This window comes from Homo sapiens, chromosome 7 (assembly GCF_000001405.40).
Source record: "Homo sapiens chromosome 7, GRCh38.p14 Primary Assembly".
NCBI lineage: Eukaryota > Metazoa > Chordata > Mammalia > Primates > Hominidae > Homo > Homo sapiens.
The window spans coordinates 16630467-16656477 of record NC_000007.14 but is presented as its reverse complement, the minus strand read 5'-3'; the positions used below and the strand labels follow the sequence as shown (position 1 = coordinate 16656477).

The 26011-nt window shown below is 38.9% G+C and overlaps 2 protein-coding genes across 4 annotated transcripts in view, besides 2 other annotated features; one reads left to right on the top strand and one right to left on the bottom strand.

The window, feature by feature from the left end:
• The window catches only part of BZW2 (basic leucine zipper and W2 domains 2), a 60337-nt gene extending 50040 nt beyond the window's left edge, over positions 1-10297 (bottom strand). For 2 of the 3 annotated variants that reach the window (NM_001159767.2, NM_001362718.2), the window contains exon 1: positions 10174-10297. The gene's annotated coding sequence lies outside the window, so the exon portion shown is untranslated. The remainder of the gene's footprint in view (positions 1-10173) is intronic. The other variant, NM_014038.3, reaches the window with a different exon arrangement.
• Positions 7612-8123: an enhancer, noted in NCBI's record as "NANOG hESC enhancer chr7:16687980-16688491 (GRCh37/hg19 assembly coordinates)". NCBI's record gives its function as "activates a minimal SCP1, AML or CMV promoter by ChIP-STARR-seq in primed H9 embryonic stem cells {active_cell/tissue: H9 hESC(primed)}" and the evidence as "EXISTENCE:reporter gene assay evidence [ECO:0000049][PMID:30033119]".
• Positions 10318-10597: an enhancer, noted in NCBI's record as "active region_25669". NCBI's record gives its function as "activates an Ori minimal core promoter by ATAC-STARR-seq in GM12878 lymphoblastoid cells {active_cell/tissue: GM12878}" and the evidence as "EXISTENCE:reporter gene assay evidence [ECO:0000049][PMID:35858748]".
• ANKMY2 (ankyrin repeat and MYND domain containing 2) overlaps positions 10724-26011 on the top strand; it is a 45976-nt gene continuing 30688 nt past the window's right edge. The window contains exons 1-2 of the mRNA NM_020319.3: positions 10724-10971; positions 20023-20087. Coding sequence (NP_064715.1) covers positions 10905-10971; positions 20023-20087 — 132 coding nt within the window. The 5' untranslated portion in view covers positions 10724-10904. The remainder of the gene's footprint in view (positions 10972-20022; positions 20088-26011) is intronic.

Genomic DNA, 26011 nt, shown 5'->3' with positions numbered 1-26011 from the left:
AAAATATAACTACATATTGGAAAAACAAGACCATACCTTAACCAAAGGACAACATACAATCACTACAACTCCAGATGTTTTACACTTAGAAGGACATATTGCTCATGTGGTACCCCAGACAAAAACACATGACCTGAATAGCTAATCATGAGGAAACAGATGTATATCTAGGGACATTCTCCAAAGTAACTGGTCTGTATTCTTCATCAATGATAACGTCTTTCCAAAACAAAGGTTGAAGAACTGTTCCAGGAGAATTAAAGGTGCATTGCTAAATGCAATACACATTCCTGGACTGAATGCTGTACTGGGAAAAAATATTTATGTATATATATATATAGTCATTTATATATATACACACATATATATGTATATATACATACACACACACACACATATATATGACTATTGAGACAACCTAAGAAGTTGGAGTATAAAGATAAAATTATGGTATCTATGTTAAAATTTACTGAATTTTTTTTTGCACTGTGGTTCTGTAAGAAAAGTATCTTATTTTTACAGAATAAATACTGAAGAAATAAGAGATAAAGGCAGAAAGTGTATGCAACCTACTCTCAAATGATTAAGAAATAAAACTGATTATGTACACATAGAACCCTGGAGCAATGGCAAACACAGGAAGCCATATGTATTTTAGGGCATGGCATGGTGGCTCCGATCTGTAATCCCAGCACTTTGGGAGGCAAATATCATATGATCTCACTCATGTAGAATCTAAAAAAGTTGGTATCACAGAAGTAGAGAGTAGAATAGTAGTTTCCTGGAGACAGGAGAATAGGAGTGAGGTGGGGATGGGGAAAGATTGGTGAACAGGTACAGAGTTACAGTTAGGAAGAATAAGCTCTAGTGTTCTATTGCACAATAGAGTTATTATAGTTAACAATAATGTATCATATACTACAAAAGAGCTAGAAGAAAGGATTTTGATTGTTCTTACCAGAAAGAAATGATGAGTGTTCAATGTAATGAATATGCTAATCACCCTGATTTAATTATTACACAATGTATATGTATATGGAAACACCACACTGTACCCCACATATGAAAAATTACTATATGTCAGTTAAAAACAAAAATGTTACATAGTAACTTAAGTAATTTAAAAAAACATTTTCCAGCATTTACCCATCAAAGTAATTTCTTCCTTCAATAAAGAAAAACTATGAACTAATAATGCTTCCATTAAACAAAACCCCTTTTAATTAATAGATTTATGAAACTTTTTTTAGAATTTCCTCTGGAGTCTACAGATCATTCTTTTGACTATACTCAATGATGAGAAATTTCCTTGTTTGATAGAGGATTTAATTTTAGAAAGTCGCCAGAGATCATTCAGAGTCTAATCCATTGAAAAAAGTAGGTGGCCACTTTGAAGCTATCTGGTGTGTCCAACCAGGTTTTTATGACAAAATACTGAACAGAAGCAAAAAAGTAGGTGATTAAGCTGAGAAACAACAGCATCTTTATTTGAAAGTGAGAGGTAACCTTTAAAAATCACTGATTATAAGGTCAGCTCATCATGTATATTATAGAATATTTAAGGAAAAATTAGAAAAAATCTATCAGTCTAACTTTCAGTAATGACCACTGTTCACACTTAAACACAGTATAGTATACAGGCTGGGCACGGTGGCTTATGCCTGTAATCCCAGCACTTTGGGAGGCTGAGGCAGGCGGATCACCTGAGGTCAGGAGTTTGAGACAAGCCTGGGCAACATGGTGAAACCGTGTATCCACTAAAAAAAAAAAAAACAATTAGCCAGGCATGGTGTTGCACGCCTGTAACCCCAGCTACTTGGGAGGCTGAGGCATGAGAATCACTTGAACCCTGGAGGCAGAGGTTGCAGTGAGCCAAGATCATGCCACTGTATCACAGCCTGGCTGACAGAGCAAGACTCCGTCTCATAAATAAATAAATATCATCCGTTTTTTTTTGGGGGGGGGGGGTTATATACAGAAAAAAATTAAAATTAAATTCTACCATCTTTTCTCATATTATGCTAAAATACAATTTAAAAATGATTTGCATTTGGACTTGGAGTTATATAACTTGATTCAGTGATATTCTCTGAATCTTTATTTTAAAAGTCATCTGTTCCATTGCATCACTTTAGGAAAAGCAGAAACTCTTATAGAGAAGGAAATGTCCTTGAAATTTGTTAATAATATTATAATTTTAAGCTTAGAAAAAAGCAAGATGGTCTCTATATTATTATTATTACTTTTTGAGACAGAGTCTTACTCTGTCACCCAGGCTGGAGTGTAGTGGCACAATCTCAGCTCACTGCAAACTCTGCCTCCCTTGGATTCTCGTGCCTCAGTCTCCCAAGTAATTAATTTTTGTATTTTTTTTTTTTTTTTTTTTTTTTTTTTGTAGAGATGGGGTTTTGCCATGTTGGCCAGGCTGGTCTCGAACTCCTGGCCTCAAGTGATCTGCCCACCTTGGCCACCCAAAGCGATGGGATTACAGGCATGAGTCACCATGCCCAGCCAGTCTCTATATTATTTTAACTAGTGATTTAAAACTTTAAAGTAATAACACACTGATGGCAAAAACAAAACAAAATCAAACAAACAAAAAACCCCAACACAGTACAGAAGGGTAGTGCTCTTCCCAATCTTTCACTCTTGACCTTATATCCTAGCCCCACTCCATGGAGATGATAATAATTTAAACCCTTTAACATCATCCTATGTAACCTTTTAGAAAATGCCTATGCATTCGAGATTTTCACCTCCACTGAAGACAAAAGTAATATTTATTATTAATGAGTATTCTCATCTCCAATGTTCCTTCCTCCAGAAAAGTGCTTTTTCACTGGAAGATACCTAAATACATGTTGAGCTTTACATAGTAGAGGAGAAAGATGATTTTATATGAGATTTACTTTCCACCTAGAGGAAAGGAGCTATGGACAGCACACACAACACTGGCCTTGCTAACTGAGGTGAGGAGAACCAGGAGATGAAAATCAGCAAGAAGTGGAGTGGCAATGCCAGAGAGCAAGTTAGTTTAAGACAGACACAAAACTGATGGGAGTGTTGGTGACTATTACTCCAGTGGGAAGTCAGAAGACAAGTTATTAAAGTAAAAGAGTGTTGAAGTGTTTGCCTCTCTTCAGAGGATTTTTAATCATGGAAAAGAGGAAAATAAAATCTTCAGAAAAAAAAGAAATAAAAAGAAAAGTAAGGCCTAGACTGGTAGACAGTGAGAGAATTCTGTTTTGGAGCAATTGCTTAAAAATCGTAATAGTGGACCTTCAGGAAGCTCAAAGGTGGTGGTGGGCATGAGTCCAAATATTGGCTCACTTACTAGTTCTCTCAACCAAGAAACTCCCATCCTCCCAGAAGGGGACCTGCCCAAGCCTGTCTAGCAGGTGAAGCTTTATTTGAAGGGCTACACACACACACACACACACACAAAGTTACTTTCCATATGCATGCTTATTACATAATGAGAGCATGAACTGGATAGAAATGCCAAGCCTAGTCTAGGGCACGCTGATGACATGGGACTGGATTCCCCAACACAACTTTACAGAAGTGGACCATACAAAATTGAATTAAAGGAAATAAAAAAGAACTAGTACAGAGCTACAAGCTCTCTGAATCATACATTTTAAAAAGGTTTAAGCCAGGTATGGTGGCTCATGCCTGTAATCCCAGCACTTTGGGAAGCCAAGGCGGGCGAATCACCTGAGGTCAGGTGTTCGAAACCAGCCTGGCCAACATGGTGAAACCCCGTCTGTACTAAAAATACAAAAATTAGCCAGGCATGGTGGCAGGCGCCTGTAATCCCAGCTACTCGGTAGGCTGAGGCAGGAGAATCACTTGAACCCAGGAGACAGAGGTTACAGTCAGCCAGTCAGCCGAGATCACACCATCGCACTCCAGACTGGGCAACAACAGCGAAACTCCGTCTCAAAAGAAAAAGGTTTAAACCTACAGAGAATCATTCATTTATTTGTTTGCCAAATATACCAGGTCTGGTACTAGTCAATAGGGATGCAGCAAGCACTAAATCAGGCAAATTTCATGGAGGTCACTTTCTAGCAGGTGGAGCTTTGTTCCAAGTATTGCACAATCGGGCAGAACAAGTTAGCAAGCACTGATTGTCTCCAGTATGTTTAAAGACAACATATGATGCATTCGAGATGCAGTTGTGTTTATTAACGTTTTAATAATTAAGTGCGTGTTTTTTTACTTTGTAACTTACAAGTGGCATCCACGCGGAATGGAATACTTTGAAAACCATGGATGTAAGCCCAGTCCCTAAGCTAACCTTCAGATAAGGCACTGAGATGTCAAACCACTTGGCTGAGGTCAGGAATTCCATTCTAGCATTGGTAAGACAGTGGAGATCAAAGCAGAACGATCCCTGCCCATCTGGAGCTTATGTACATGGAAGAGTTGGGGCCAGAACCTGATCCACTGTCTCCACTCAGTGCATTTTCCAAGGAGCCAACTAAAGCTGTTGCAATGTCTTAGAGAATTATTTATATGATTCTCGAAGACAGCTTTTTCATTATTTGCCTCATAAATTTTATAGTTTGGAATAAGATGGAGTAGCGCATAAATATTAATTTAAAGTTGAGTTCAGCACTTGGATAAATTGAATTAGCATATGTTACTTCCAAAATACCAAAGAGTTCTCCATAGAGTTCTATTAAGCGGTGGGGGGGAAAAGGCATTTATCTTTAGAGAGAGAATTTAACAATATTGCCTCTTAGGGACATACGAATATTAGAAAATTTATGGCACCATAATTTCTAGCACTATAGGATACAGTTTTTAAATTGTTTCCTGCAGAAGCTCAACTCTAACACAAACACAATCTTCACACTCCCAAATACTAACACCGCATCCTTTTCCTCCAGCCAGCAGTTTCCTCTGCACCGACAACTAGGGGTTCTCTTTCCTGTTTATAATAGTCCCATTCAATTACCTTGTTCACTGAGAAAAACATATAACATTTCTTTTTTCTTCTTAGAAATGACCATAAATCCAGGTTAGTTTGAAAACCATTAAAGTCTTCTGTGTGGATATATAAAAAGGATGACAGTAGAATATCATCCAATAGTAGCTTATGATATATTCTCTACAGTGCTAAACGTTATTATCCCTTATTATTCATCTCTGCCCCAGGGCTTTTCTTGAGATTTATTTAGAAGTCCTCAAAAATAACAGTACACCTGTTATATTTTTTAAAGTTCTCATCTAGCATAAAAATAAGTTGAGATGTAAAAAGAAAATATAATGCTACATCTGACACAAAAAATAATTCTACATCTTAAGTTATTGTTTTCCTACTAAAATATTAATATTTTCAGAATGGAATTAAAGATAGCCAAAGGATTATACTATCTTAAATATTAATACAGGGCATTATTCTTTCTTTTTGTCATTATACTTTTTTCCTTTAATTTTTGAATAAACTTAAAAAACATCAATGGAAACACCTATTGCTAAAAATCAAGAAAGAATAATGAGAACATTATCTTTTTGGCATTTAACCTTAAAGAATGGTTCATTCAATGAGTTATTCAAATCTTTATTTTCAAAATAGATAGTTTACAAATATGACTACCTGAACAATTTTGGCACTCTTCACTTAATACACGCCAAATTTAGAACGGGGCAAATCATTCCACTCGGCACCTAACTGCCCAAAAGATACTTGCTAAAGAGCGCCATGGCCTCAATACACAGAAATGAGTGAGTTAAGAATGAAAAGTATTCTTGTTTATGACCTGCTAAGATTGGTGGATTTCATATTAATTAAATATTCTTGTAAAATCCCAAAGTCTAGGATGACATGTTATAAAGGACATTTAATATATCTAAAACACAATAAAAAATTGTAAAGATCAAAAAATCAGTTTAAAAAATTGCACAAATTAGAAAGTAGGTGTCAGATTAAGTATTCAGCTAAGCAAACACTGAGTAAGAACCTACCAGTCACACCCTGTCCTGGGCCTGCTCCTGATTTTCCTAGACTAATACTTATCCTATCAGTGCTGACATTGCTCGAAACAGTTTTGGTACTCTTTTTTTTTGGAATGCCTTCTGAGTTGGATTATGACGCACAGAAGAACATCAGTATCTCCACTTCATTCACCTCTTGATTTTCTCAGTTAAACTAAATGTATCTGTACCCCTTCTTCAGAATTTTCTTTTCAAAAAAGATGAAGATTAACTACCAGTAAGATATTCATCAATTTGTTCTACAAGCACTGAGTAATGCCACCAACCTTTTACTTTTTGGAGAAGTTAAAATGTGATGTCAAATGTTTATGGAAACGCATTGTTCACAAGACAGTTCTTTGCAGATTTAGGTGTAACTGTTTTAACACTTAAATGAATAATCACATAAGCGAAACTCCAAGTATAGAAAAAAGAACATTTGTATTTATATTACTTTCTTATGTTGTGTTTAAAAAAAAAAGATTTCTTAGAGGCTGTAATACTTCCAAATTTTCTTTTTAAAAACTTCATTATGGAAAATCTCAAATATATCCAAAAGTAGAGAGAACAGTATAATCAAGTGAATATACTCATCACCCATCTTCAACTGTTAACATAGTCAATTTTATCTCATTTATATTCTCATTCAGTCTCTCTTCCTTTCTGTCACAGAATTATATTAAAGCAAATCTCAGCTGTCTTCTCATCCAGTTCTGAAATAATTCTGTTCCTATCTCTAAAAGATAAGTAATCTTTTAAAAATATAACCGTAATCTACTTCCAACTTAAAAAAATCAAAATTTCTTATTATCAAATATCCAGTCAATAAAGATACCTAAGTCTAAGGAAAAAAAGTCAAATGTCAAGACAAACAGTACCCTGAAAGATGTAATACTCAAAAATGCAACAAAAAGGCAGCATTCTCCTAATGTAGAGAGCTGGAAATCAGGGTCTTTAATGGGGAAATCTAAGAATGGCATGCCAAATTTGTAACATGTGCACAAGAACAATTTTTCTTGGTTGATAGCATTCATCAGAATGTCAAGAAGCTTGAGATCCAAAACATTTAAAGACTTTCTGCCTCTGGTTATGATTGTGCGTGCTTAGTGCCACCTCACCTCACATTGCCAGGAAGGATTAGTCAAGTAGGAAAACAAATCCACCTAAAATAACTTAGAAATCAAACTGAATTCAACTCAGCTTGTACTGAGCATACACTAGGTGCAAGACACTGGGTTAAACCTGAGAAACAAAGATAAATTTGACCTAGTTAATGTATACTGTAGAATGAGAAGGGACCAAACAGATTAATAATAACTATAATAGAATGCGATGAGAAAGTGCTTGTTTTAGGTATTTTCATGGAGATTCAGATGAAGAAGCAATGATGTCAATTTAGGGGGGCGGTAAAAGAGGGGTCGCTAGAATCCATAAGAAGAGAGAATTAAAGGCTGCCAGCAATGATACCAGTAGCCATGTTGCATATCAATATCCTCCATGTACAAAGATTTTACTTATAACCCTTGCCAAGAGACATGAATAAATGTATTTACTAGCATGTATATTTCCCTTACTGGATAGAGAGGGAGAGATGAACACAAAAGCTGAAGAAAAGAGGTTTTGTTTAAATTGTGTCTGGAAAGTTGAATAGTTCATCAGATCTGGAGAGGAGATTCAGTGAAAAGGGAAGGGAAATCATTCAGAGGAGGAGAAAAGCAGGAACAAAGGGGTGGAAATTACCGGCAGGTTGGGGAACAAGCAGAGTGGTGACCTTAGAGCCCAGTGTGTGGGAGGGCCCAGATGACTGGAAATGCCTGCTGAGACCATGGATGGATTGGAACCTTCCAGGCCAGACCCAGCCCTCTATTCTGTGGCCAGCAGAGAGCCATTCAAAGAATGATGGGTGCTCAATGTTTATTGAACTGGTAGTTCCCTGAATTAGCTAGATGGAGACAGGTGAGAGAGAAGCAGGCTACTTAAGATGCATTGCAATAGCTCTAGAGTGGTAGATATGAGAGGACACATACAACATTTCAAACATTTCAGAAATCATTATTCCAATTCTGACTTGACACTTCCTAATATGGGATTGTGGGCAAATTATTTCCCTTACTTTCTGTCCTCTTATTTGCAAAGTGGGTATAATATTGGCTCATTCCTGGGTTGTCATAACACTAGAATAATTCTATGCAAAGCATCTGGTAGAATATCTAGCACAGACTAAATACTCAATATGAAGTAGCTATCTTATTATCAATAAAACTTCTTTGATGTGAATCTGTTTTAATATGCTCATTATCTAATCTTATCCCTACATTAAATATTTACACCATACAAAACTACTAATGTAATCAATCCATCTAATGAACAGTACCCATTATGAATCTGTTTCTAGAAATGTAAACTGAACATGATTTATTTGCATTTCTAGGTAGATGTTAGATTCTCTTTCAACGTTATTGTCTCTAAATTCACTGGTCATGTATTCAGAGAGCACTAAATACCAACCAAGTGTCATAAGGCATCAAGAAAATAGATAGTAAGCTGCTATCCTCGAGGAACTGACAACCCCAGTGAGACAAACAGGTGTGACCTTCAAGTAACCATGGCCCAGATTTGGCACAAGAGATGGAAATACTAGCAATGAAGTACCCAATTATGTGTATGCATCTGCTGGTAAGATGCTAAATCACATGTTCCAGGAGGTTACCACTCAACTGTTTTTTTAGGTTTGTGGGTTTCTTCCGCATGATACTATGTTATAAATCAATTGTAACTCTGAACTAACAGCATTACAAAAGATTGGTCACTCTCAGGAGCCTTACTACTTGCTTGAACAGCCACATCATTATTAAAGCATCATCCAACAAAAGTATCTTTGTTATACACTGAGATGAATAATTTCAAACCATTTTCATGTAAGATGTTCTGGCTCAGATCTGTCCCAGTCTTTAATGCTGAAGCTTTAGGGGGGAAAAACAGCTGGAGTTTAGGAAAGATTTTTGCTAAAGGCAGGAAATAATGATAAACATATTCCAGGAGATTTCAGATGTTAGTGAAAGCTTCACGCAAAATAAATGCCTAAGGCCAGAGGAAAATGCATTTCGCTTTTCGTATGGCGCTATGAGAAGAAACAGTGGTCCTGGGGATGCTTAACAAAAACCACCTACATAATTACTCAAATATTTCTCTTTGACACATACACGTCTCTTTGACACACATATTGAGAGAAACATCAATACTACTCTGTAGGGAAACAACAGTAAAACATAAACACTAATTTCCAAAGAAACTTTCATTGATGATGTAAATATAAATCTGCACCCTGGAGAAATGACTGATTCCCGCATTTTAGCAAGCAAATCTTATTCTGAAATACACACTTGTATTTACCCCCATCTACCTATGGTCGAAGCTCCAGGCTACATATTACAGTTGAATGAAGGTTGGATTAAGAGGCTAATCTAAGGCTATATATAGGCAGCAACACCAATTTAATCTCCGCCCTCTCCAACCTCCCCACCCTCCACTCCCTATTTCCATAAATCTCAAGATCTGAGTTACAAAGAGAACCGAGAACTCTAGCAGAGCAAAGAAGCCCTTCCTTCCCCCTCCCACAGGCTGTCTCTCATAAACGAAGTATTAGTGCAAGTGTAAATTGTTTCCAAACATCTTTAACAAGCAACATTGGGCGATCAGGTTTTCTTCTACAGCTTCCACAGAGGCCAAAGAGATGACAAGTAGTGGGGAGGGCGAGGATCACCAGCGTAAAAACTACCTTCTCCCGAGTCTGTTCTCACTGACTCGCTAGTAATGGGGCGCTGTCCTTGCGACCCCTACCTAGCCCAGAGCCCCGGCCCCAGCCTCCCCGGGAGCCGCATCTGGCGGTGCCACGCACGAGACCATGTGCACCCGCCACTTCCCACCGCGTGGCTGGCCCCCGCCCGCCCGCCCGCGGTCCCAGGGTCTCCCGAGGCGGCCAAACGTTGCGAGTCGGAGGTCTTCATCCCAGGGCACTGATACCCCGTACGCGCCGTGATGATGAGGTGGAGCGGGGGCTTCTCCACCGCGAGGCAGGAAGCCGCCCCAGGAGGCACATGCTTCCTCCCCGCCAGCTCCTGCCCGATGGAAACCCCGGCGGGGCGGCAGTCGCTACTCTCGCAACCCTCACGGCGCCCCTTGCCTCACCTGGGCTGCTTCTCACCTGTCCGAGGAGGTAGCGACGACGCGCAAGGCTGGGGGCTGCGGCGATTCGTGCAGCAGCAGCGGCAGCAGCAGCAGCAGCAGCAGTGGCGGCAGACAATGGAGGAGTGAAGGACAGACACATTGACATAGACACACGGAACCCGGCGCAGCCCCGCCTCCCGTACCGCCCCCGTCTCCTAGACCGCCCCCGCCCAGACTGCGCCACTCCCGGGGGAATGGTGGGGGTACGGCGACAACCTGGGGCCTCTGCATGCCCCAGAAAGCCGTCGCTGAGCACATAACTGCCAGCTGTAGAATTTTCAATATTACATGTGGCGAAATATTTGAACCGGACAGGATAGGGGAGCGGAACGTGTAGGAGGAATTTAATTCCCCCCTCCAGCTTTCTGCATTTGGTTTTGTCCTCCCAGGTTGCTCCAATGGCGATCTCTCGCTACCGCCTCCTGCGGCTCCTCCTCCTCGGCAGGGCCAATGACAGGCGGCAGGCGGTGACCGCCGCAGGGCCTGCGGAGACCGTCCGCCTGGCTCGCCCGAGCTCGCCCGCTGTCCGCCAGCCCGCGGGAGGGAGGAGAGAAGCGAAGCGTTTCCGCGGTTGGCTACTCAGTGTCTTGGTCTCAAGTTGCCTCATTGCGGCTGGCGTTCCCAATACAGACGCATCGTTTCTTTTTTAATACTCCCTAAGAAAGGGAATAACCTTCAAGCTGGCGGGAGCAATGGTTCACATAAAGAAAGGCGAGCTGACCCAGGAGGAGAAGGAGCTACTGGAAGTCATCGGGAAAGGTACGGGTGCTGGGCTGCGACGCGGCCGCGGCCAGCCTGGCCGGGGGGCGTGGCGGAGCCCGGGGGGCGCTCCTGGCCTGGGTGACCTTTGGCTGCGGTTCTGCAAGGTTTGCAGCCTGGAACCGGGAAAGAGCGTTTCTCCCTTTGGTCTGGGAAAGGTTGCAGGGGCGGAGAGGTGGGGAGGCAGAAGCAGTGCTGGGACAAGAGGGGTAGTTACAGAGGCTCGGCCTCTAAATCCGCTTTTGGAAACGTACGGATTTCCACGCCCCGCCTTAGGTTAATGCGAGCTTCCCGGGGTGTGGACCCCAGTGTGTGAATTCTTCACTGCTCCCGAGGGATTTTGACCGCGGTCAGTCCTGGTAGTTTCAGGTTCTTAGGCGGGTGTCTAAATGACCCTTTAGACTTCCGCAGGCCGAATGATCTGGATCCTTTGCCGATCCCCGCCCCCGCTTGGGAGTGGAGGGCGCCCTTAGGGAGAGGGGTTCTTCATAAGGGTACAGAACTAGGTCTGTAATTTGCTGCATTGAGACTTCCGTATCCAGGGCCTCCCTGGCTTCCAGAAGCCCCGACAGCCTCAGGAACCCTAGAGAGACAAGGAAATTGGCGAGGCCTCCACACCCACCCCTCGGCCCACGTTGCACAGATGAGACCTTCTAATCGCGCTCCTTCGCGCTTTCTTGTCCACTCCCCCAAGGCGTGCCCCACTTCCGCAGTGCTGAGTCCCAGCGGGGAGCCCCGAGGACGAGCCAGAAGCCATATTTCCCCGGAGTCCCCGAGTGGACGTCCCAGAGGAGTTCCCTGCCGAGTCCCGTTACCTGGCAGGTGACATCAGCGTGACTGCATGCTTCTTCTGCACCCTCACGGTGCAGGGATGGTGATGCGTGCGACTCCGGGCAATTAATGTGGTGATTTTAAACTCAATAATAATATAGCCATGTTTGTCCTCGAATGGCAGAGATGCCAGTCATTGCAGCATAAGGCTTCCCAGTTTCCAGTTTTATTTACTTAGTAGCCAGGCTGAAATGTGGAATCCTAGAGAATAAGGCAGATTTATTCTTCATAGCGACAAGGAAACTCCACATGCGAAGGAGAAAAAATTCCGGTTTGAACTCAACAGGTGCTGATGAGCTGAGCCCACCCGATCTGATCTCAACTATTCTAAGTCAGTCACAGCTATATCTATCAATGATGTGTTCTTTGCCTGGAATTTGGGGATTTGGGTTAGAGTTTAGATTGTTGTACTGCATGGTTCTTGCTGACCTATTTGGCATTTCAGTCTTTCAGTTCTTCCTGTCTCTAGGTAATTTCTCCCTGCCTTTGATGGCTCTGGGATTCAATTAAGCAAACATGCAAGTTCTAGCTGTGTGCCAGGTACTGTGCTGGGCAAAAAGGAGACAAAGGATCAATTCACAATCCACCAGGGACAAAAATTCTTTTAGGCAGGACAGAGCTAGTACATGTCCTCTCTCTCTCTCGCTCTCGCTGTCTCTTTCTCTCTCTCTCTCGTTTGTTTGAGACAGGATCTCACTCTTCACCCAGGCTGGAGTTGCAGCTCTCTGCAGCCTCCACCTCCCTAGTGGCTGGGACTACAGGTGCGAGCCACCATGCCCGGCTACTTTAGAAAGATTTTTTTTTTTTTTTTGTAGAGATGGGGTGGTGGGGGTCTCCCTATGTTGCCCAGGCTGCTCTCGAACTCCTGGGCTCAAGTGATCCTCCTGCCTCGGCCTCCCTAAGTGCTGGGATTACAGGCATGAGCCACTGGGCCTGGCCCATCATGTGATCTCTTAAAAGTGAAAAATAGTGAGCAGTTTTATAAATTGAGTCTTTGAGAGGGGAGAAGGGATTCCTTGGATACATTCTCAGGTGTCCATCAGTATTTATTTTGAAGATTATATAAACCTGAATTAATGTGCATTTATTCTGGTTAGTGCTGTGATATTTCTGGGCTCACACGGTGCATCAAGTTGCATGAGTGCACTGATGCTTTCATCGCTTTCATTGGACCATGCCAATGAGAAAAGAACTGATGTGGACCTAGTATGTGATGCATTCTTGTCAAATGAAGGTCTGTGGGACATCACTTGCACTCATAAAGAAAAGTAATGGGAGATATGAGAAAAACAACCATAGCCAACGTTTATTGACTGTTATTGCAAGCCACACATAATTTTAAGTACTTTACATATATTAATGCATTTAATTTGGATGAGCTAGGAATTAATTTTAAGCTATGACAGTATGAGAGACAGCATGGGATAGTGGTTAACCATGCAGGTCTGGTTTGAAATTCTAACTCATTTACTGGTGATGTGGCCTTTGGGCAAGTGACTTTTCCTGAGCCTCAAGTCCTCTGTGTGAAAAATAGGAATAATAATAATACCCACCTCACAACGTTGTTATGGGGATGAAAGTAGTTAGTATAGTTAAAGCATTCGAAATACTGCTTGTGTTTGTGATAAATATAGTAATCTTCACTTTATAGGCAAGGCAACTGAGGAACTGGGAAGTTAGGAAACTTAGTGTCAAACAGGTAAGTGGCAGAAAGTGGCAGAGCAGAGGTATCACAGGGCCCATAGGTAATAAACAGGCTGTACCTAAAAACAAACTAAACAAAACATGAAACAGTACCATAGCAGTCCATACAATATTCACTTTGAGAGGTCATTTAGTTCTAGCAAAACAACATCTGTCAAGTTAACTCAGTTTTAAATGTTACTGATTTTGTAGTTCTGTGTGCATTAAATTTAAAGTAAATTTTTATTTTATAGTTGAAGAAAGGCCATAAGCAAAGTTTATATTTGTGCCAAAAAGAGGCATTTTTTTTAAAGTGGGTGAAGTGAGTTTTTTTTTTTTTCTTTCATACGTTTTTCAACTTTGAAAAACTCTAGATGAGACAATAAGTTCTAGTACTTTGAACTAACAACTTTTCAGCAAAGTCTAGCCTGGCATCTTGGTCAATCTGAAATAAACTCGGCAAATATTTAAGTGATTCCCATCTGCCAGCCACTGCTCTCCAGAAAGACAGACTCTAAGTGGGGCTTTTTATTTATTAGAATGCCAAGAAGTTCCAGATGAAAATGAAAATCTGTTTCCAACATACCCATTTAAATCATAGTTAATGACAGCATTCATTTAACAGTATGTAAGAGGAAATTGAAATCACTGAACTGTGTTTAACTGGCTTATATGACTTGTAGAGTTACCCATTCTTCTAAGCTTTGATACCTTTTTCATTAATCTCAGAGCAAGCACTATTATGAAATAAATTAAACCTTTTTTAAGGCTATGAGCTAGATAATTTTCACATTACTTCTCTTATTTAGTACCTGAAATTCCTGGGCTTACTGTTGCTAACAAGAAAGTATTATACTTCCTTTTTTTTTTTCATATCTGTGTAAAGGAGCTATGAAACAAGTTTGGATAATAAGGCTTTTTCTTACCAACTATTGAGATACAATAAATTGCACATATTACAGGTAGTACACACTTTTTAATCAGTTTTGATTTAAACATACATCTGTGAAACCATCAGTAAGATCAACATAATGAACATCTTCATCACCCCCTAAAAAGTCCTTATGCCTCTTTGTGATCTGTCACTAACTTCACCCCCATCTGCAGGCAACCACTAACAGATCTCTGCCTCTGTTGATTAGATTTCTCTATTCTAGAATTTTATATTAGTAGAATCATACAATAAGTATCCTTTTTTTGAGGGGGGGCTGGCTTCTTTCATTCAACATTATGATTTTGGGGTTCATATTTATTATGTGTACCAATAGTATGTAGCTTATTTTCTTCTTTTATTTCCAGTGGAAGGATATACTACTATTTGTGCATCCATTCCCATTGATGCCCAATTGTTGTTTCCAATTTGGGACTATTGAAATAAGATCCTGTTCTAAGGTCCTGTGTCGTTAATAATACTTCTGGTGTCTTTATGGTTGAGAAACATTCAAGTCTGCTTATAACCAATTATAGTACAGAGTTCAAAGAAAAAATTAAAATATATGGTTACCATTAGTTGGATGGCTGGACAGGTTATGCAACCTATATGGGCTTCATTGTCTTCATTTTCACAGCAACAGCTCTTTTAGATACTCCCAATTTTATACAGTGCTCTGTAATACTAATTTAAGATCATTTTTTTACAAAGTCTAAAAATAGATATGAGTAGGAGACCTTTTAGAAACATCGCACAAATTCACGATTTCAAAATGCATGTTATAATTAGAAGTCTCCACTATGTGTGTGTGTGTGTGTGTCTGTGTGTGAGACAGGGTCTCACCCTGTCACCCAGGCTGGAATGCAATGGTGCGCTCTCGGCTCACTGCAACCTCTGCCTCCCAAGTTCAAGCAATTCTCCTGCCTCAGCCTACTGAGTAGCTGGGATTACAGGCGTGCACCACCGCGCCCGGCTAATTTTTGTCTTTTTAGTAGAGATGGGGTTTCACTTTTAAAATATATTTATAGCTTTATATCTATGATTATATCAAAATCTATATCCATATGTTCTTGTTTTAAAATTAAGGCACTTTAAACATTTTTACATGATTTTACTTATACGTAAACACTATAACAACTAACAAAGCCAAATAGATTTCTAAATCCTTAACTTGATTATATATTCCTTAAAATATCCGTTTTCGTGGCTTCCAATAAATAATGATTGCAATCCAGCTGGACATAGTGGCTCATGCCTGTAGAGTGACCCCTCTGCACTTTGGGAGGATCCAAGAGGATCACTTGGACCCAGGAGTTTGCCACCAGCCTGGGTCTCAATATAGTGAGACCCCGTTGTTACAAAAAATGTAAAAATTAGCTGGGTGCGGTGGCGTGCACCTGTAGTCCTAGCACCTCAAGAGTCTGAGGCAGGAGGATTGCTTGAACCCAGGAATTCAAGGCTGCAGTGAGCCATGATCATGCCACTGCACTCCAGCTTGGGCGATGGAGGAAGGCCCTGTATCTATAAAAAATTAAAACAATAATAATGAATAACGATTGAAATCTATACGTGTTTGAATCTCATGGTTGTGTGATGAATTGCTGAAAACAGAATGTTTGTTTCTCCTGTTCTGTTTGTTTTGGCTGCATCTTCTTGTCTTTGGTAGAGACCCGTGTTCCCGATCTAGATATTAGAAATGTTACAATGAATTATATTGTGCTGCTCTGAATACAAAATAAAAAGAAGATCTAATAAAGGCTTATATGTGCTCCACATTAGGACACTCCTCAGATAACTGTGGGATGGATATTGTTATCCTTATTTCATAGATAAGGAAACTGAGAGTTTTACAGGTCTTTTTATTTACTTTTATTTATTTATTTACTTATTTTTTTGAGACAGAGTCTCGCTCTTGTCGCCCAAGCTGGAGTGCAGTGGCGCGATCTTGACTCACTGCAACCTCCTCCTCCTGGGTTCAAGCAATTCTCCTGTCTCAACCTCCTGAGTAGCTAGGACTACGAGCACGCACCACTACACCTGGCTAATTTTTGTATTTTTTTTTTTAGTAGAGATGGGGTTTCACCATGTTGGCCAGGCTGGTCTCAAACTCCTGACCTCAGGTGATCCATCCGCCTTGGCCTCCCAAAGTGCTGTGATTACAGGTGTGAGCCACCATGCCTGGCCAAGTTTTGCAGGTCTTGTTCCACTTTATAGTATTCCTGAAAAAGCTATAATGTAGTAGAAGAGAGAGCAGTAACACTAAGAATATCATTCTCTTTTGAGACAGGGTCTCACTTTATTGCCTAGGCTGGATTACAGTGGCATGATCATAGCTCACTGCAGCCTCAACTTCCTGGGCTCAAGCAATCCTCCCACCTCAGCCTCCTGAGTAGCTGGGACTACAGGTCCATGCCACCACACCTTGCTAATTTTTTAGAAAATTTTTTGTAGAGATGGGGTCTCACTATGTTGTCCATGCTGGGAAAATATTATGTACATAATCTTTTCTCTCCTAAAATGCTTGTTCATCCAGATAAAGTGATCAATTCCACCCTAATGAGGCAGGTTATGCTGTATTTTCTTCTTTGGTTTGAGCAGTTGGAGGAATTCTCTAAAGGGAAATAAATCACTAATTATTACTTTAATTAGTTTAGGTCTGTTGTTTCTTATCTCCAATGAAGGTAAATGTTGGCTCCTTGCACATCCCTTCTTATAGTACTCTATCTTCCACCCCCAGCAGTTTGTTAAATCAGATTTAACATATTTATTTCCCAGAATAAAGCAATTAATCTTTTACACTTACTTGTAAAATATTATTTAAGTCTACTATGGACAGTAGGAATGACATAAAGTAAAAATCCTTCTGTGTGAGCCATGTGTTTCACATTTCCATGCTATTCTGGACCTTCTATAATTTCCGACTAATGTCATTACATTGTGAACACCGAATTGGAAATCATCACAGTTTTTCCTCTTGGAGTGTTTTGCTCATCCATGTTCCAAATCTATTTTTACCCTCTAGAAGCCCAATCTGTTTCAGATTATTTTTCTCATTCCAGCCCCTGCATTTCAAAAGGCTAACCTTAGTGTGATTGTGGGTACGTGTACATGTAGGATATAATAAGAAATATCTATTTGGTCTCTGCCACTGGCTCCTAACACAGAGCTCCTAAAACCCTTATAATCTCCTGAACAATGGGGTGCTAGGTGCATCTATTGTTCTAATATTTGGTCTTTGACCCTGGTACCTGACACAGAGTTTCTAATCCCTTGGAATTTCCTGGGCGTTAGAAATGTCTTTTGTTCTAATGAGGCGACTGTTGGATAGCTTCAGGATGGGGGCTGGTCATGAGAAAGTCCAAGCCATGATTAGAAGGTTGAATTTTTCAACTCCACCCCTCCCCGCATCTTCAGGAAAGGGAGAGGAGCTGAAGACTGACTTAATAATAGGTCACACCTATGTAATCAAGCTTGCATAAATATTACTGAACTACAGGTTGCAGAGAGCTTCCAGATTGCTGAACTCGTGGAAGTTCTTGGAAGAATGAGTGCCTGGAAAGAGCATGGAATCTCTGTGCCAAGTGCCACATACCTTGCTCTTTGCCCCTCTTCCATCTGGCTGTTCATCTTTGTCCTTTGTAATATTATTTGTAATTGATGGGTAAATGTAAGTAGTGTTTCCCTGAGTTCTGTGAGCTGTCCTAGCAAATTATGGAACCTGAGGAGGGGATCATGGGAACCCTGATTTATAGCCAGTCAGAAGTACAGGGGCTTATGATTGGCATCTGAAGTGGGGACGGTCTTGTGGACTGAGCCCTTGACCTGTAAGATCTGACTAACTTTAGATAAACAATGTTAGAAATGAGTTAAATTATAGGATACCCCATTGGTGTCCAATGGAGAATTGCTTGGTGTTTATGGGGGAAACCCCATATATCTGGTGTCAGAAGTGAAGGATTGAGACTATTGAGTGAGAGTTAAGCAGGAGAGAACAGTTTGTTTTCCATTATACATGCATCATCTTTAAAATATATTGTTCCCTTACAGAATATGTTAACTTAGATTGTTGGCTATTTGGCAAACACCTTAGAGAATTATCAGCCTGTTCTCTAATGAGAGCCAAATGTTTATGATCTTAATCCCCATTCTACTCTTCCCATGTAGCAGGTTTTGACATGCTTACAATCACTATAGTATTCTCCCTTTCTTGCAAAAACATCTCTTGGGCAGATAGAAAAAGAAAATAACTTTGGTTCTCAGTAGAGAATGGGATTTGGATGAAGCATCTTCCTCAAGAGAAACTGGGGTGCGGGGTTTTTGTTCTGGTTTTATTCTTCTATAAAGATTTTTGAGAAAGTCTCTGATGAGAAGACACAGATACGAATAAGGTTTCATGTAGAACTGGCTCGCATGCTCACACACACAAGAGCTTTGCCCTTGCATAGCGATTCAGCCAGTGATACTAACTGCTTTCAGATGGAATACAGGGTCAGAAAAATGCATTATTTATAAAAAAAATAGCTGCTATCATACTCCAGGGACGTGTAGATCATTCACTTGACATTTTCCCAACAGAGCTACTTCTCTATCTAGGAGATGTTTCTGTTTTTTCTCTGTTGGTGAGGGGAACTCAGGTGACTTGCTTAAGAAGTGGGTCAGAGAGAAAAAAGCATGCTAATCTTTATTTTGCATTTCACCTTTAACTCTAGAAGGCTAGCAGAGTTTAGCACAGTCTTGCACTACAAGTCTAAATTTAAAGAGAGGAAATAACCTGATTGGGAGACTTACCTATTCTTTTATGTTCTTTTATAGGAGAGGCTTATCTTAGCCTTTCTCCCTCAGCACATTCAATTTCATTCTTCTCTTCCCAGTAAAACCAGAAATTTCTTGGCAAAATGTGTGGCTGGCTTGTACTAATGATAATAGCAACATTCTCTCCTGCAAGTATGCTTCTGTCATTATGCCTTATAGAAGACTGGAAAAACCTGACAACTTTGGCCCAATTATAGCTTCTTTCCAAATTTACAGAGGAGTGACCTTAAGGTTTACATTAGTTGACTTTCAGGGTGGTGAGTACTGATCATAGAGCACTGTAATGTAGTACTAGGCATTGAAGATGTGTTTCACCTAAGTATTTCCAAACCAAGCACTCTATTATAAATATGTCATCAATTCACAAGATGTGGTGCTGACAAATTATATAAATACTGACTGCATTTTGAATTCCAAGTATTACATTGACTGGAATTTAAGCTTCAGATGGTGATTTGGATTAGATACCCTTTAAGATTTTTTTTCAGTATTAAGTCTTATGCTTTGTGGTTATTGTATTACCGCCAAAAGGAAAATGTGGCCAATGTAATATACTTTAAGGTCAGTGAAAATAAAAACAAGATGGAGCTATTTTTAGTTTCTGTAAATCTATTCTACTGGACAATTACTTTGTAAAATAAATAGTATGTGATTGGATGTTTCATTTCTTAGCAACCTACACTGACTAGATGTACTCTTACAGATAACTCCTTAAGGTTTATTTCCTTGATGTTAGATTTTTCTCTTATTCTAGTGACGAATAACCTTACTTTTCATCTTTTTTTTTTTTTTAGGTACTGTCCAAGAAGCTGGAACATTATTATCCAGCAAGAATGTTCGTGTCAACTGTTTGGACGAGGTAAGATTTTAGAAGTTTAATAAAGGATTTTACTTCCTATAAGAAGAGATAATATATCCTTTTTTTTTTTTTTTTTTTTTTTTTTTTTGAGATGGAGTGTTGCTCTTTCGCCCAGGCTGGAATGCAGTGGCACAATTTTGGCTCACTGCAACCTCCGCCTTCTTGTTTCAAGTGATTCTCCTGCCTCAGCCGCCCAAGTAGCTGGGATTACAGTCACCCACCACCACTCCTGAGTAATTTTTCTATTTTTAGTAGAGACAGGGTTTCACTATATTCACCTGGCTGAGCTCGAACCCTGACCTCATGATCCTCCTGCCTTGGCCTCCCAAAGTGCTGGGATTATAGGCATGAGCCACCACGCTCAGCCTTCAAATCTCTTAATACAAGTTTTTTTTCTAGCATTTTTGCTCATATTACACTAATAATTCCTAAACTAAATGTAAGCAAATAGGTCATAAAAGAAAAATAAGCATGTAAAAATAGTTTAGTCTTATTAGTAATCAAATAAGTGCAAATAAAGTCAAAATCATATTATTTCTTGTCAAGCATGGGGAAAAATGGACTTTTAAATGCTAATGGTTAAGTGTAAATTGATGTACTATTCTGTAGAAAATTTTGGAATATGTATCAATTTTAACTGAGTATATTATTTGATCCAGCAACTTCAGTTCTAGGGAAAGTTAAGTGAACCTAAACTCAATTTCCTAGAATAGTTGCTTCTAAAATAAGTTTTGGAAATGGTGGTAACATCTGAGCATTACAGTAGCCATTGGCCATGTGTGACCATTAAACACTTCAAATAAGGGAAGTTTGACTGAGGAAATGGATATTTAGATTCCTTCATTTCTTTCGGTTATTAGCAGCTTTATTGAGGTATAATTAATATATAATAAGCTATACATATTTAAGGTGTAAAATTTGTTAAGCTTGACATATGTATATACCTGTAAAACCATCACTATAATCAAGATAACGTAGATATCCATTACCTCAAAGATTTCCTCATACCCCTTTGTAATCTCTCCTTCCTGCCCTTCCCCACCCACTCCTGCAAAAAGCATTAATTTGCTTTTAGTCACAATATATTAGTTTGCATTTCCAAGAATTTCATATAAATGAGATCACACAATAAGTACTCTTTTTTTAATCTAGCATCTTTTATTTAGCATAGAGATTCACCCATGCTGTAGCATATATTATTCCTTTTTCTTGCTGAGTAGTTTTTTTTGTTGTATGTGTATACCATAATCTTTTTATCCATTCATCAGCTGTTAGAGTTTTGGGTTGTTTCCAGTTTGGGGATGATTACCATAAAGCTTCTATGAACATTTATGTACAAATGTTGGTATGGACATCTGTTTTTATTTCTTTTGAATGATTTATCTTCTCTTTATGGGTTGTATGTTTTTATTCTTTCCATGTTTGATTGTTTTTTATTGGGTGCTAGACATTGTCAATTTTACCTTACTGGGTGCTGTATGATTCTGTATTTTGATAAATACTCCTGAGCTTTTTTTCATGAACACAGTTAAGTTACTTGGAAGCAGTTTGATTATTTCAGTTCTAGTTTTTAATGTTTGTTAGGTGGAACTAGCAAAATGCTCAGTAAAGGATTTTTTTCCTGGTGTTGAACTAAGGCACTTCCTTGTCCTCTATGCAATGTTCTCAGATGCTTGAGGTTTTCAAGCCTGGCTGGTGGGAACAGGCACTCTTCCTGGCCCTGTGTGAGCACTGGATGCTATTCCTTGTAATGCTGTCAGCTAGTTATTTGCCCAGGCTTGGGTAGTTTCCACATACGCGTGTGTTGATCAGTACTCCAGCCAAACACTCTGAAGAAACCCTCTGCAGATCTTTAGAATTCCCTTTCTGTGCAGCTCTCTTCTCTCTTTTACTCTTCCTGGGAACTTAAGCCAACTTGGTGACCCTGGATGCTCAACTCCATCGCCTCAATGCAGTCTGCCAGGCTCAGTCTGGCTGACCTCTCCATATACTGTAACCTATAAACCCTCTTAAGGTTATAAGCTAGGCAATTGCAGGAGCCAATTCAGTTGCTTTCCCTTTCTCAGGGATCATGTGTTTTATTGCCTAACCGACAGTGTCTTGCAAATTGTTATTTTGTCTGTTTTTCTGTTACTCTAGGAAGAAGATAACTCTGGTTTCTGTTACTATATCTTGGCTAGAAGTACCGGTTTCTAATTTTGTTTAATTTTAATTAATTAGAAGTTAAATTTAAATAGCCATATGTGGCTAGTGGCTACTATATTATATAGCACAGTCTAGTGCTAAAAAGTTCATTGAACTTCAATTTCTCATGCAGAAGGGAAAGGGGTTCTGTTAACTCTTTACCCACACATGGGTAGCAAAATTAATATCAGACAAAATAAAGTTTAAAGCAAAAAATAATTATATGGATATTCTGTCTTATATATTAAATTAATAATACACCAAGAACATAATAGCCTTAAGCCTTTTCTTATAAACTTATCAGCTATAGGCATTGAGGTTCATAAAGAAAAAAATGATGGTGCTCAAAGGAGAAATCTGTAAGATCGCAATAGCACCTTTTAGAAACTAACAGATTAAATAGAAAAAAAGTAACATAGGATGTAGAAAATTTGGACAACCCAATTAACAGTACATGGACTGTATATTAGCAGAAAAAAATAGTATATCTTCTTTACATGTAACATTGATAAAAATTAATCCATGTATTATACTATTTTATAACGGAAATTGTAGCTTATTTCAGACAGCTTTGCTAAATGTAGTATAATACATTCGAAAAGAAACAAAAATATAATCCAAATAATGAAGCACATATCTTGGAATTTGTTTTTTTGTCTCTAAATAATTCTCAGGTTAATGAAGATATAGGAATAAAAATTGCTGACTGTTTACAACTGAAAATACAACATTTATCAAAAGCTTTGTTTGCTGGCCAAAGTGATACTCAAAAGAAATTTTGTAGTGTTTATCATTGCACTTTTAATCTTTATGGTGTTCTGAGCTTTCAGTTCATGAAATTATTAAAAGAGTAAGTATACTAAAAAAAGAAATGATTTAGAAAAAACAGAAATAAAAAATTTTAAAAGCAGATAAACATAAGCAACAATATAAAAATAGATAAGCTGGAAATAATCAAAATTAAAAACTTTTGTGTTTCAAAGCGTACCACCGAGAAAGTGAAAAGACAGTCTACAAAATGGGAGAAAAATTTTATAAATTATATCTGATAAGGAACTTGTAACTAGAAAATAATAAGAACTTCTACAACTCAATAATAAAACAATATATAACTCAATTAAAAAATGAGCCAAGGATCTGGATAGATATTGCTCCAAAGAAGATATACAAGTGATCAATACATAATGAAAAAAGGCTCAACATCATTAACCATCAGGGAAATGCAAATAAAAAGCACAATGAAATACCACTTCATATCCACCAGGATAGCTATAATCAGAAAGGTGGTATAGCAGGTATTAGCAAGGATGTAAAGAAATTGGAGCCCTCATACATTGCTGGTGGGAATGTTAAATCGTGTAGCCACTTTGGAAAATAGTCTCGCAGTTCCTCACATGATTAAACATGGAGTTACCATATGACCCAGAAATCCTATATATATACTTAAGAGAAATGAAAACATATATCCACACAAAATTTTGCATATGCAAATGCATGTTTATAACAGCATTATTCATAATAGTCAAAGGTAGATACAACCCAAATGTTCAACTGATGAATACATCAACAAAATATAGTATAATCCTATGATGGGTATTATTCAGTTACAAAGATGAAAGAAATGCTGATACTTGCTACAACATGCATCAACCTTGAAAACATTAATGCTAAGTGAAAGAAGTCAGTCACAAAATATTGCATATTTTAGGATTCCATTTATACAAAATACCAAAAATAGGCAAATTCATAGGAACAGAAAGTAAATTAGTGGATGACTGGGGCTGAGTAAGGGAGTGGGGGTGAAGTGGGAAATGACTGCTAATGGGTATGGAGTTTCTTTCAGGGATTATGAAAATATTCAAAAATTGATTGTGGTGATGGCTGCACAACTCTGTGAGTATAATAAACCGATTTATTTGTACAAATTAATTGAGTAAATTGTATGCTATATGAATTGTATCTCAATAAAACAGGAAAGAAAAAACAGTAAAAATTATCAACTTAAAACCAAAATATAGATACAGCTTGGGAAGTACAAGCAAGAAAACAACATGTATAAACAGTAAGGAGGAAGGAAGGAAAGGAGAAAGGGAGGGAGAGAGGAAGGAAGGAAAGACGGGGGGAAAGAAAGGAGAAAGAGAAGGAGGGAGGGAGGGAGAAAGAAAAACATAACTGCAATTATAAAGAAGATTGTCATAACTTTTTTATTAAGATAACACATTTGGAAACCCATATGATCTTTGTAGAAAATTAAAATGAATATATTCATCTCATATAGAAGTAGAAAAACTGGGCCGGGCACAGTGCCTCACGCCTGTAATCTCAGTACTTTGGGAGGCCGAGGCGGTTGGATCACCTGAGGTCAGGAGTTCGAGACCAGCCTGGCCAACATGGTGAAACCCCTTCTCTACTAAAAATACAAAAATTAGCCAGGCGTGGTGGCGGGCGCCTGTAGTTCTAGCTACTTGGGAGGCTGAGGCAGGAGAATCGCTTGAACCCTGGAGGCGGAAGTTGCAGTGAGCTGAGATTGCACCATTGCACTCTAGCCTGAGTGACAGAGTGAGACTCTGTCTCAAAAAAAAAAAAAAGTAGAAAAACTGGAATAATCAATAATTGGAATAATCAATAATTAAGGAAAATTTGTATAAATATTTTTAAATCTCCTACCACCTTCAAAAGCTGCAAACCAGAGTAAGCTTTATCAAACTTTAAGGACCAGTTAATTCTCATTTTACACTAATTATACCATTAGTTTAGAAAAAGATGGGAAGATACTCAACTCATTTATTTGATAAGGCTAGCATAATGCTGATGCCAAATAGTAAGAAGTTTCACAAAACTATGGACCCAATTCACTTTATAAATACAGAGGCAAAAATTCTAAAAATGTTAGCAGGTTGATGCAGCCATCTGTTAAAAGGATTATAAGATATCATAGCCAAGTAAGGTTTTTCCAAGAATGTTAGGATAGTTCAGTTTTAGAAAACCTTTCAGTGTAATTCACTATATTACAGAATAAAAGAGAAACAAATAGGATCACCACAACAGATGCTAAAATGTATATTATAAAATGTAATAACCTTTGATGGTATAAACTAACAAATTAGGATAGAATGACTCTTCTGTAACCTGATAGGTTTGCAGAAACCTTCCACAAACTTTAGCATCATATTTAATGTTCAAATAGAAGTACCAGAATCAAGACAAGAAGCTTCCTATGTGTTCCTGAAGATTGAGTGGGCTGCAGACAGACTTGGCCTCTGTGATGATCCTTGAACACAGCACAAAGTTTTTTGCACTTTCATTCCCTTTCCCTGGAGCATCCTTCCTGTAGTTATCTGCATTCCTTGCCTCCCTAACTCCTTTCAGGGCTTTGTTCAAGTGCCACCTTTTCAGCGGGACATTCCTTGAATGTCCTCTTTAAAATAATAGTCTTCTCTTTCCCTCTGGCACTACTCTCCTTTGCTTAATGTTATTTTCTTCCAGCACTTGTATCACCATCCATCTAGTCACCTGTACTGTAAGTCCCAGGGACTTAGACTATGGGAGGCATGAAGTTTGCTTATTGCTACCTCCAATGTATAGATCAGTGTCTGACATGTATTAAGCACTCATTAAATATTTGCTGAATGAATGGATGCTGCATTTAATGACATAGAATTCCAATGTAATAACCTAATGTTGATTGATTCTTTGACTTAAGAATTATGGGAGAGGAACTTTATTTTTAAGGGGATTGT